This window comes from Homo sapiens, chromosome 3 (genome assembly GCF_000001405.40).
Source record: "Homo sapiens chromosome 3, GRCh38.p14 Primary Assembly".
In the NCBI taxonomy this organism is placed as follows: Eukaryota; Metazoa; Chordata; class Mammalia; order Primates; family Hominidae; genus Homo; species Homo sapiens.
In genome coordinates this window covers 34,164,667-34,178,260 of record NC_000003.12, presented here as the reverse complement: position 1 = coordinate 34,178,260, position 13,594 = coordinate 34,164,667, and the positions used below count along the sequence as shown (strand labels likewise).

The window sequence follows — 13,594 nt, the reverse complement described above, 5'->3', positions numbered from 1 at the left end:
AATATTCATGCCGGTGTGGTCAGTGGAGGGTTTGTTACTGGTCTCCCACAAAATAAATATAGAAATTGAAACCAAGCATTTAGAAACTTTTATGGAAATTTGAGTAATTTTATGTCTGTTAACTCTCTAATCATGAAAAATGTAGAAACTGTATTTTGAATTTTATTTTTATTTTCTAATAATTTATACTTAATAACTTTTTTGAAATAAGTTAAAACTCACATGAAGTTGTAAAAATAGTACAGAGAGCTCCTATATTCCCTTCACCCAGCTTTTCTCAATGAGAGTATCTTACATAACCATAGTACATTGTCCAAACCAAGAAACTGACACAGTTCTGACAGGTCTGATTCTAATAATTCACTTTTATTGTATTTTACGAAAGTATACATCTGTGACAGATTAGAACAATTTTAAAAACAGGTTATTCACCACAGATACTTCAGAAAGAGCTAGTTTACATCATCTCACTCCAAAAATAATTAAGGTAGCAACAGAAACTAATAAAAGAGTGGAAATGTCAGAGGCTTGGGACCAGCTGACCTGATTAAGCTCCTAATCACTCCTCAGTGTTGTTGTGTGCAAATCACATAATCTAGACCTAGGGTTAATAGTTATTAACTGGAAATTAGGGAAAATAGTCTTTATCACAGAACTATGAGGATCAGATGGTATAACATTTGCAAAGGTACTTTGAAAAATACTTTCAAATGTAAGCTTGTATTCTTTCTATACTAATAAAACAACATTTATGTCCAACTTACACGAGCATCATATTAGTGCACAGACTATGTCCAAATATAGCAAAATTATAGGAATTCCTTATTTCACAAGCACTTAACAATTTTCAAGCCCTTTTCACATGAACCGTAAACCTATTTAATCTCAGCAAAGGTGGTTTTCCCAATTTATCCATGAAGCTCAGGAAGGTTAAATGGCCTGCACAGAGTAAATAACCAGGACAAGTCAGAGTTGACAGAGGAACTAAGACATTCTTTCTCTGAATACAGTTTCTTTCACTTACCAAAATCTGTGAGCATTTGGCAAAAACCTGAAATTATCTCAACTCTTCAAGAATCCAACAAACCAAGAAAAGAAAAAGATAATTTGTGCAGATTTTGTAAGTTACATTGCTAACTCAAAGACCTAGTTGAAAAAAAAAAATACTTAGTGTTTTATGATGATTGGCCTTTTTCATAAATGCTTCCCTTTCATTTATATGTAATTCTGTCCTTTAATTTCCCCTTTCCCAAAAGTGGCACCAGAGAGGTTGCTAAGCAATTGTCCCTGACAAGGTCTCAGCACCTGTCAATAAAACTGAACATTTTCCCATTCTCTGTTCCCTTTTAGTACTAAGGAGTATGTCAATCAAAGAACATCAGTAAATGCTGGATTCTGAGAGAAGGCAGAAAGGCTCTGACAGGCAGGGAATAAAAGATGACTATTTTTAAACTAACAAGTCCTTTCTTAAAGTAAGGCAAGTTGAATAAGAGAAAGACAAGTTTCACTACTCTGTTTGTCTGGGAGGTAAAAGGGCTCCTTCAGGTCAGGCTACCATCTTGATTTGAGAAACATGTATTTTTTGTCCAGAGAGCAGTTTTCAATGGTGTGTTACTGCTCTTTGTAAATCGAAGATAAAAAATTATCAACAAATATATAGTTGAAAATAACATTTTTCCAAAAGATTCGGGAATTTAGAAGACTCTAAAATTTAACTAAAGCCCATCATATTTAACTAAAGCAAAATCTTCAGAGAATGGAGAATTGATGTGCAGAGTGGGTATATTTAAATAGTATCAAACTTATCAACCTATATTTATACTCAATGGATACAATCCAAGTTATTATATACATATATACACATTGGCTGCCATCTTTGTGTACATCATTTGGCTATGTAAAGACAAATGCTTGGAGATTAAGATAAGGAGACATTTGCTCCCCTACAATAGGTACAACTAGTTTAATGCAGAATTAATACCTGGACACAGACCTGTAAGGAGGAACATTTAATCAAGCTACAGATAATTTGTCTTATATTTAAGGTTGAAATAATCAATCAAACTGCTATTCCACCCACTTCCAAAAAAGGAAACTTTCAAATTGTCTTGCCGAAAACTGACCTAGTTCTTCTTATAACATACCTCTCTGTTGCATTAGAATGTGCCAAGTTGCTCTTAAGCTCTTACCTGAATCACTTTTCTGAATAAACTAATTAACCTTTGCTCAAACATATGCATATGTTCCTAGCAGGTGGCAGCGTTCTTCAGTCCCTGGTAATATCAAGATAATTCTAGTGCAAACACAGAAATGTCAGTGTTGCTAAACTTTTTAATTACACAGCCATATTACCTTCATGTGACAGGAAATGGCAAAGTTCTTCAAATAGCCTGCACTGAAAGCAAATGCATAGTACAGTGGAATCAACACAGAAGCCCATGAGGGTAAAGTGGTAAGACAACTTTGACTCAGTGAGGCCATGACAATGGAGGTGGTAGGGAAAAACTGACCAGTGATAAGTGTTTAATTCTCCACCAAAGTGGCAGAGAAAGTATCCTACTCCTCATAACTATGATAAGCCAGAAAGTGTGAGACCAGCCACTGGGGACCAAGAAGCATAGAACTTTTACAATATTTTCCTTAAAGATTAGGTAAAAGATCTGCTTACATACATATTTTTCTGAGTGAGAAACAGCACATTTTCAATAACATTTGTGTTTGGTTATTAGTTTTTAATCTTGCTGGTATCAAGCACCCCAAAAGATTTTGAACCAATTTCTCATTCCCTACTCTCTTTCCAACCCATTCTCCAGTCTCTAGATGCAGACAGAATTTCAAATAACAGGCTGCAGACTCCATGAGACAGCCAAAAAACTGTGAGTGTCCAAAGTGTGTAATGGGGGAAGTCCACCCCCAAACACACATCCTCACGGGGGAACCTGAAGGTCTAGATCACAGAAGAAGGATTTAACCTTACCTGAAGCTGAGATGAATTTAGAGAGCCAAGCAAAATATGGGGTAGAGGAAGCAGCGGGAAGAGACTGTGGGCACTCTTGGTCCCCAGGTATGCCATTTATGACTTTGTCTTACAGGAGTCCTTGAGGAGAGCTGCCAGTGGAATTGAAGAAAGACCACAGGGAGAAGAAAACTTCCAGCTGAACTTTGTAACAATATCAACCAAATGCAAAGTTTCCTGGACAGAATCCAGGGGAGGGGATGAACAGGGACTGCAGCTACAAGCACAGAAGCCACAGCAGGTGGGGAGACATGAAGCCCTGCTTGCTTTCTCAGCAGGGAGGCTTGTAGCCTGGGGCAAGTTCTCAGCCCTGCTCACCAGCTGCCTGGAAACAAACTCAGTGCTGTGGGGGGCACAGTGGGAGTGAGACTGGTCTTTCTGGCTGCTTGGAAGCTGGGTGAGGCCTGTCACTGCTGGCTTTCCCCCACTTCCCTGGTGTCCTATATGACACAGCAGAGGCAGCCATAATCTCCCCTGGAAACATAACTCCTTTGGCCTAAGAACCACACCCCTATCCCCTAGAGTGACCACGACAAGCCCCTCCCAAGGAGAGTCTGAGCTCAGACATGCCTAATCCTGCCCCCACTTGATGGTCTTCTCTACCTGCCCTGGTAGCCTGAGACAAAGGACATAATCTCTTGGGAGTTCCATGGCCGAATCTACCACCTGAGAAACCCAAATACTTATCCAGGCAACCCTAGGGCAAGTTTGTATCCCCCCTATACTACCACTGCTGATGCTCCCTTGAAAGTCACCTCCCAGGTGGAGACCAACCAACATAAAACCAACACACTAAACAAAACTACAACCAAGGACTCTCACAGAGTCCACTTCACCCTGCCACTACCTCCACTGGCGCAGGAGCTGGTACCCACAGCTGAAAGACCTGAAGACAGACCACATCATAGGACACTTTGCAAATGCTCCCCAGTGCCAGCCTGGATCCCAGTAGCTCCACTGGGTGGCTAGACCCAGAAGAGAAATAACAAACACTGCAGTTCAGCTCTTAGGAAGCTCCCACCCCAGGGAAACGGGGAGAGCATCACATCAAGTGAGCACCCCGTGGGACAAAAGAATCTGAACAGCAGTCCTTGAGCCCCAGATATTCCCTCTGACATAGTCTGCCCAAATGAGCAGGAACCAGAAAAACAATTCTGGTAATATGACAAAACAAAGTTCTTCAACATCCCCAAAAGATCACACTAGCCCACCAGCAATGAATCCAAACCAAGAAGAAATCTCTCAATTGCCAGAAAAATAATTCAGAAGGCTGATTATTAAGCTACTCAAGGAGGTACCAGAGAAAGGCAAATACCAACTTAAAGAAATAAAAAAAAAAAATGATACAAGACATGAACAGAAAAACCTCCAGAGAAACAGACATCATAAATAAAAAACAATTACAACTTCCAGAAATGAAGAACACACTTAGAGAAATGCAAAATACACTCAACAATACAAAGTCTCAACAATAGAATCGAACAAGTAGAAGAACTTCAGAGCTCGAAGACAAGGCTTTTGAATTAATGCAATCCAAGAAAGACAAAGAAAAAAGAATCAAAAAAAAAAAAAAAAGAACAAAGCCTCCAAGAAGTTTGAGATTATGTTAAATGACCAAACCTAAAGATTAATTGGTGTTCCTGAGGAAGAAGAGAAACCTAAAAGTTTGGAAAACATACCTGAGGGAATAATCAAGGAAAACCTCCCTGGCCTTGCTAGAGATCTAAACATCCAACTACAGGAAGCTCAAAGAACACCTGGGAAATTCATAGCAAAAAGATCATCACCTAGGCACTTTAGATCAGAATATATAATGTCAAAACGAAGGAAAGAATCTGAAGGACTGTGAGGCAAAAGCATCAGGTAACCTATGAAGGAAAACCTATCAGATTAAGAGCATATTTCTCAGCAGAAACCCTATAAGCTAGAAGGTATTGAGGTTTTATCTGTAGCCTCCTTAAATGAAATAATTATCAGCCAATAATTTTGTATCCAGTGAAACTAAGCTTCATAATGAAGGAAAAGATACAGTGTTTTTCAGACAAATGCTGTGAGAATTCACTACCACAAAGCCAGCACTACAAGAACTGCTAAAAGGAGCTCTAAATCTTGATAAAACCATCTGATTTTCGACAAACCTGACAAAACAAGCAATGGGGAAAGGATTCCCTATATAATAAATGGTGCTGGGAAAACAGGCTAGCCATAGGCAGAAAACTGAAACTGGACCCCTTCCTTACACCTTATACAAAAAATAACTCAAAATGGATTAAAGACATACATGTAAAACCCAAAACTGTAAAAACCCTGGAATAAAATCTAGGCAATATCATTCAGTACATAAGAATAGGCAAAGATTTCATGATGAAAATGCCAAAAGCAATTGCAACAAAAGCTAAAATTGACAAAAGGGATCTAATTAAACTAAAGAGCTTCTGCACAGCAAAAGAAACTTATCAGTAGAGTGAACAGGCAACCTACAGAATGGGAGAAAATTTTTGCAACCTACCCATCTGACAAAGGTCTAATATCCAGAATCTACAAGGAACTTAAACAAATTTGCAAGAAAAAAAAAAAAACAAAAAAACCCATCAAAAAGTGGGCAAAGAATATGAACAGGAACTTCTCAAAAGAAGACATTTATGCACCAACAAACATATGAAAAAAAGCTCAACATCACTGTTCATTAGAGAAATGCAAATCAAAACCACAATGAGATACCATCTCATGCCAGTCAGAATGGCAATTATTAAAAAGTCAAGAAACAACAGATGCTGGTGAGGCTGTGGAGAAATAGGAATACTTTCACACTGTTGGTGGGAATGTAAATTCGTTAAACACCGTGGGAGACAGTGTGGTGATTTCCCAAGGATCTAGAAGCAGAAATACCATTTGACCCAGCAATCCCATTACTGGGTTTATACCCAAAGGAATATAAATCATCCTACCATAAAGATACCTGCACATGTATGTTTACTGCAGCACTATTTACAATAGCAAATACATGGAACCAACCCAAATGCCCATCAATGATAGACTGGATAAAGATAATATGGTATCTATACACCATGGAATACTATGCAGTCATAAAAAGTAATGAGATCATGTCGTTTGCAGGGACATGGATGAAGCTGGAAGCCAAACCAAACACCACGTGTTCTCACTCATAAGTGGGAGTTGAACAATGGGAACACATGGAAACAGGGAGGGGAACAACACACACCGTGGCCTGTCATGGGTAGGGAGCTAAGGCGAAGGAAAGCACCAGGACAAATAGTTAATGCATGCGAGGCTTAAAACCTACGTAACAGGTTGATAGATGCAGCAAACCACCATGGCACACGTATACCTATGTAACAAACCTGCATGTTCTGCACATGTATCTTGGAACTTAAAGTAAAATAAAAATTTAAAAATAAATAAATAAAATACCAAACACGATTTGTGCCACATCGTGTTTAATAAATGCTAGTCTGCTGCTCTCCATTTGAGTGTGAGGCAGATGATTTATTCATCTTTGTATTACCAACAGCACAGAATTTAATAAGTTGTAAAGTGCTCTCCATTTTTAAATATTTTTTCATATTCATTCCCTCCATACTCAACCCATCCCCCAACCATTCCTGCTTTCAATGTAACAGACAAAAACCCAGAAAATGTAGTAGAGTGTTGCTAAGCAGTCATAAAAAGTAATGAGATCATGTCCTTTGCAGGGACATGGATGAAGCTGGAAGCCAAGTGACTCTGGAAGATAATAATAAAAGGAATACATAGATAATGTCATCCTTGACATTAAAAGATGTTTACAGTGATGGTATAATGCCATGTGAGTGACAATATTAAATCTCATGGAATGGTTATACTTTCCAGATTACCAAAAAATAAAAACTGCTTTCTGTGTTGTAACACAGCCATTTTCTGCAATGCTCACTGATTCTACATCACGATTTGTTGTTATGAAAAGGCCAGTAAGTTACCCACAGTTATTTCCCAGCATTCTACAGCTATATCTGTGTATAAGCAGGTGGGGACATTGAGAGGGTGTGATACTGTAGTAGACCAGACCATAAGCAAACAGCATGCCACATAGAAGGTCAAAACACCTGCTTCATTGTCCCTAATGTGACTGCACACTTTGAGCAATACCTCTGTCTTAAAGAGATTTAGAAACACATCCCTAGTTGTCCAACAGACTCCCGAACATTGGGTGTGGGAAAAAGAAGCCAAAATTAAAAACATAAAACTGGAGATGAAAATTACATAAGGTTTCCTATCACTTCTCCCATTCTTAAAATTGTTCATAAGTGTGTAAGTTAAAAGATACCTTTTAAAAGTGCAGATGTTTTTCACTTTGCCCCGACCTGTGAATCAGACTTCTAATGTAAATACTTCTTCTCCTTCTGAAAAATCATACAAAAGCAAAAATGAGAATGTGTGATATCTCAAAACTCCATTTTCAGTGATATTAGGAAACATATAATATGTAAACTCCAAAATTTATGTGAGAGTTCCCAAAAGCACCTAAGCCAAAGCAGACGCTGCACAATAAGAAGTAATGAGAAAAGGCATGAGGTGTGGTAAAAGGCCCAGTAGTGGAAGATCATAGAAAATGCCAGTAGAAAGTACATTTTCTAAAGCTGAGGAACTCATCCTGAAGTAAGCTATGTCTCTTGTTTGTTACAATGAATGGAGGAACTGGGGTAGACAAGGCTGGTGGAAAAAGCCCTTTAGCACGCAATTTGATTTGGGATGGCAGAGGAAATGAGACTACACAAAAAAATATATAATTTAACTTTTAAAAATCACACAGATGAGATATATTTTTAGGAAGTAGATTTTCTGTAGTAGCAAAGACAAAAAAGCCCTTGGATTGTGCAGCCTGGAAGACTAGTCTAGGCATCTTTTACCTCCTTTCCACCATCATCAAGAAACAACTTATAAAGAGCTCATGCAGAAAAATAAAAGTGATTAAATATGAATAATAAAAAGATATAGGTAAAATACTGACACAAACTTACTAAAGAGGAATGAGTAGCAACAGACAAAAACTCTTACCGAAAAATGGTGCCAGGGGGCTGATCAAAATTGTGATCAAGCATTTTACTAGGATTTATATTCAATATTAATAAATTGGTAGGCCAAGGCGGGCAGATCACGAGGTCAGGAGATCGAGACCACCCTGGCTAACATGGTGAAACCCCGTCTCTACTAAAAATATAAAAAAAAATTTAGCCAGGCGTGATGGTGGGCGCCTGTAGTCCCAGCTACTCTGGAGGCTGAGGCAGGAGAATGGCGTTAACCCGGGAGGCGGAGCCTGCAGTGAGCCGAGATCATGCCACTGCACTCCAGCCTGTGCAACAGAGCGAGACTCCGTCTCAAAATAAAATAAAATAATAAAATAAAATAAAATAAAATAAAATAAAATAAAATAAAATAAAATAAAATAAATACCTCCTTGAATGGGAACCACAATGCAGAAATGCATAAATTCAAAAAAGAGATGATGAAATGACAGGAATATTATTCCCATGAGCTCTTTTTAAGGAAATTACTAAAATACAAACCATATAATATAAGTAAAGATACATTTAGCAGTACAAAGGAAATACTTTCTTAATTTTATTGACTAATATGAGACAACAGAGAGAAGAAACAAAGTTTTAGGAAATGGGATTATGCTGCTGTGGTGTGTCCCCTCCAAAACTCAGAAGTTCCTTAATGCTATCACCAAGTGTGATAGTATTAAGCAGTGGGGGCTTTAAGAAGCCATGAGAGCCCTCCCTCAGGAATGGGGTTAGATGTTTTTATAAAAAGGCCTGACAGAGAGAGTTCATTCCTTTTGTCCTTCCACCTTCTGTTATGTAAGGACACAGTGCTCCTGCTTTTGGAGGATGCAGCATACAAAACACCATCTTGGAGGCAGACAGCAGCCCTCACCAGACCACTGAACCTGCTGGTGGTTTGATCTTAGACTTTCCAGCTTCCAGAACTGTGAGAAATAAATTTCTGTGTTTATAAGCTACCCAGTCTATGGTATTTGGTTATAGCAGCTCAAACAGACTAACACAGCTTGTTTAGCTTAAAGCAACTTTTCTCAACCTAGACGCAAATGACACTTTGAGTTGATAATTCTTTTGGTGTAGAGAGCTGTCCTGTGCATTGTAGGATATTTAGCAGCTTCCTTGATTTCTACAACTAGATGCGAATAGCACCCTCTCTAGTTGTGACAATCAAAAATGTTTCCAGACTGTCAAATGTCCCCTGGAGGACAGCATTTCCTCCAGTTCAGAACCACTGCCCTAGTAGTAGAAGAGCCTATGTCTGTGGTGGAACAGCGCTGAATATCTCATGGGAAGTTAAGTAGCTAGTAAAGTATTTCTTATAGAACTTTAGTGTGAAAGCATTCCATGGAGATGCCTACAGCATTTATTCACTCAATTCAGTGTAATCATGATGTAGTGACAGTCCAAAGCTCTCACTAGGGACCCCTTTTCCTCATGCCTTTTAATCATGAGAATACCTAATCCCTCATATACAGGGCCCCCTACCTCAAGAAGGGTTTTTATTTAGAAACGCTTTTCTTATATTTTGTGTTTTTAGCCAGAGTGTTATTTTTCTTGATTATTCATTCCTTCTCTAAGATATTTACATATAACATAATCAACATTTCCACAACACTCCTAATCCAGCATCTGTAAACTGTTATGAGTAATAAGACAGTGATATTCTAATGAATGAATATATTTGCCCAAACCCTTCATTAACAAAGATAAGGCTTCACACTGTGGGGAAATAGACTTCCCTAAAACAGTCCAGTCAAGTCCCTAATCAAATACACAACCAAACAACAACAAAAAGTCCCACAGAGGGTAAAGGAATCAGCATCCAAAACTACTACAATATTTTATCTAAAATGTCCCATTTTGACAAAAAATTATGAGACATGCAAAGAAACAGGAAAGTGTGACTTACACATAAGGAAAAAGTGTGCAACAGAAACTGCCTGTAAAAAAAATCCAAAAGTTGGTTTAAGAGGCAAAGATTTTCAATGCAACCATTATAACTATGTTCAAAGATCTAAAGAAAAATATGTCTAAAAACTAAAGCAAAGGATGAGAATGATGTCCAACCAAACAGAAAATACCAATAAACAGAAAGTGTTCTAAAAACCAAGTAGGTATTCTGGAGTTGAAAAAGTGCCATAACTAAAATGAAAAATTCACTAGAAAGGCCCAACAACAGATTAAAATTGTCATAGGAAAGATTCAGAAACATTGAAAATACGTCAATTGAGATTATCTAGTATGAGAAACAGAAAGAAAAAAGAATGAAGAAAAATGAACAGAACCTCTGAGGTCTGTGGAACATCATTAAGTGTTCTAATACATGCATAATAGGAGTTCCAGATGGAAAGTTGAGAGAAAAAGGGATAGAAAGAATATGTGAAAAAATGATTGAAACTTCCCAAATTTGCTGAAAACATTTATCTACATATCTAAGAAGCTTGATGAACTCCAAGTAGGATAAACGCAAAGTGATCCATATCCAGACATGTCCTAGCAAAATTCTTGATGGCCAGTGACAAAGGGAATAGTACCCTGATGCCAAAACCAGAGATATCACAAGAAAAGAAAGCTACAGACCAATGTCTCTTATGAACATCGATGCAAAAACTTTCAGCAAAATAACAACCTGAATCCAGCATACAAAAGGGATTATATACCATGACCAAATGGAATTTATCCCAACAAGGTAAGGTTGGTTTAGCATCTGAAAATCAGCTAATGTAATATGTCAGGTCATTGAATTTTTTTAAATATTACTATTTTTATGCAGCTATTGATGGTTGCAGAAAAAGTACTTGACAAAAACCAAGACCCTTCATGATAAAAGCCCTCAAGCTAGAAATAGAAGGAAGCTTTCTCAATCTGATAAAGAGTATCTGTGAAAAACTCACAGTTTACATCATACTTAATGGCAAAAGACAATGCTTTCACCTTAACATCAGGAACAAGACAAAAATATCTGCTCCCACAACATCCATCTAACATTGTACTGAAGGTCAGAGCCAGTGTAATTAGATGAAAAATTAAATAAAAGACATCCGTACTGGGAAGGAAGAATTAAAATTATCTCTACTTGCAGATGGCATGATGTATATACAAAAAATCCTAAACAATTCACTAAAAAACTACTAGAACTAAGAAAAGTGTTTGATAAGTAGACAGACAAAAAATGAATACACAGTAACCAATTCTATCTCTATACACTTACAATGGGCAATCAAAAATGAAATAAAGAAGCAGAGCATCAAAAAGAAAAATACTTAATACATTGAACAAAAAGTGTAAAACTTATACTCTGAAAACTAAAAAGTACTGTTGAAAGAAACTGAAAAAGACATAAATAAATGGAAAGACATGCCATGTTCATAGATTAGAAGACTATTTGTCTAAGATGGCAATAAATATTCCCTAAATCGATCTACAAGATTCAATGTAATCTTCATTAAAGTCCCAGATGACTTCTTTGCAGAAATTGACAAACTGATTCTAAAAGTCAAGGGACTTAGAGTAGCCAAAACAACCTTTAAAAAGAACAAAGTAGGTGGAGCCAATTTCAAAAGTTTCTACAAAGCTATAGCCATCAATATAGCCTGGTACTACCACAAAGGTGTCATATAGTTCAATCAGATAGAATTTAGAGTCTAGACATAAACTCTCTGATTAACAGTCAGTTGATTTTCATATATATATATATATATATATATATATTTTTTTAACTTTAAGTTCTGGGATACATGTGCAGAATGTACAGGTTTGCTACATAGGTATATGTGTGCCATGGTGGTTTGCTGCACCTATTGACCTGTCTTCTAAGTTCCCTCAGCCAATTGATTTCAATGAGTCTATCAATGCCAAAATTTGACAAAGATATGGACCAATAGGTTCTCACACCTACTGCTGAGATTATAGTTTGGTACAATTATGTTGGAAAACTGTTTACATTATCTAATAAAGTTGAAGATGACACATTCTACAACCCAGTGATTCTCCTCTTAAGTATATTTCAAAAAAATGTCTAGCAAGAGATTGTTTTTGCAAATAGAGACCTGAAAAAATGCTCAGGAGAGCACAGTCCACAGTTTAAAGAGAAACACTGGAAGCACTTCAAATGTCGATTAGCAGTGGAATGAATAAATAAGTGATTTATTCATGCAATGTATTCATGTGTGCAATGTAAAACTACAGTTTTATGTATCGACATGTGGGAAATGCAAAATGATGATGTTGAGTGAAAGAAGCAAATCACAGAAGCATATATTTAGTATGGGTCTACTTACATAAAGTTCAAAGCAGACAATACCCAATATTACTTAGGGATATTGGTATATTACTTGGGGAATATATCTATATATAAATATAGATATATTACTTAGGGAATTATTTATGCATTATAAAATATAAAGAAAAGCAATGAAATGATAACCACAAAATCCAATGGATTGGGTTCTCTGAGGCAAGGAAGGAATGGGATTTTTTAAAAAGCATCATTAGGAACTTTTAAGGTTCTGAAAATGATTTTTCCTTAAACTGGGTAATGGGCAATAGTTTTCATTACATCATTCTTTTAAGCATACATGTATATGTTGTCCATACTAAATCACAAGATTTAATTTCAGCTTCACTGAAAATTACACTAAACTTCTCGCTTTGAAGACCGGAATGTCAAAATTTGAAAGAACATTGGTCCATGAGAACAGAAAATGCCGCAGATTTAATGAGAAGGAGTTTGGAGACAAGGAGACCAAACAGAAGTAACTTGCTGCCTTAGTTCCCTCCTCTCATTCCACTCCCACATGTTAAGTGAGCAAATTAAAGACAAACAAAATCACTCCCACTAAAAAAGATAAATAATAATTAGAAATAAACAGCATGGGTCATTGCATAAACATTCCAATAAAAATTGGAAGAGCTATAAGAGCAAAAAGCAGGTAAAATACAATTCAGAAAAAGATTTACTCTAGAAAACAGGTGAAAAATCTTCCTGACACATTACTCTTTATTTTCAAATAAAGAAGACAAAAACTCCTTGAATAAAAACAATTCAAAGAAGAAATAAGAAGCAAAAGAAAATATAAGACAACAAAAAGACATGGAGAGTTTACTGTCAGTGATTTGGGGGAAAAAGATAATGGCTTAGAGATTGATAGAATAGGATATTCATAATTCTTGAAGAAAGTTTGAGTTCAAATCTCAGCACTATCATCTACAGTCGTATGAACACTGAGCAAGTGAAATCCCTCTCTGAGCCTGTTTTCTCATCTATAAAATCAGGACAAAATTTATTTCAATGGGTTTTTAAGTATTAAGTATTAAAGGAATAACCTAGTCTAATAATAGCCTCACAGAATTCACTCAATAAATGTCTCTCCTTTGATTCATCCGTTTATCTCTGTTTATCCCTGTCTTTGTCCTCTCCATCTGTCTGTCAGTCTCTTACTTAATTTTTCTCTTTAATAAAAACTACAACTAATTCTTGGTTATTTATGCTAATAGAAAACAAATGAATAGGAAG

At 36.7% G+C, this 13,594-nt stretch overlaps 1 long non-coding RNA gene across 21 annotated transcripts in view; it reads right to left on the bottom strand.

The window, feature by feature from the left end:
* LINC01811 (long intergenic non-protein coding RNA 1811) overlaps positions 1-13,594 on the bottom strand; it is a 276,733-nt gene that overhangs the window by 257,836 nt on the left and 5,303 nt on the right. For 17 of the 21 annotated variants that reach the window (NR_183677.1, NR_183681.1, NR_183678.1 and 14 more), the window contains exon 2: positions 7,341-7,416. The exons of the other annotated variants lie outside the window; for them this stretch is intronic. This is a non-coding gene — a long non-coding RNA (long intergenic non-protein coding RNA 1811). The remainder of the gene's footprint in view (positions 1-7,340; positions 7,417-13,594) is intronic. 21 annotated transcript variants of the gene reach the window in all.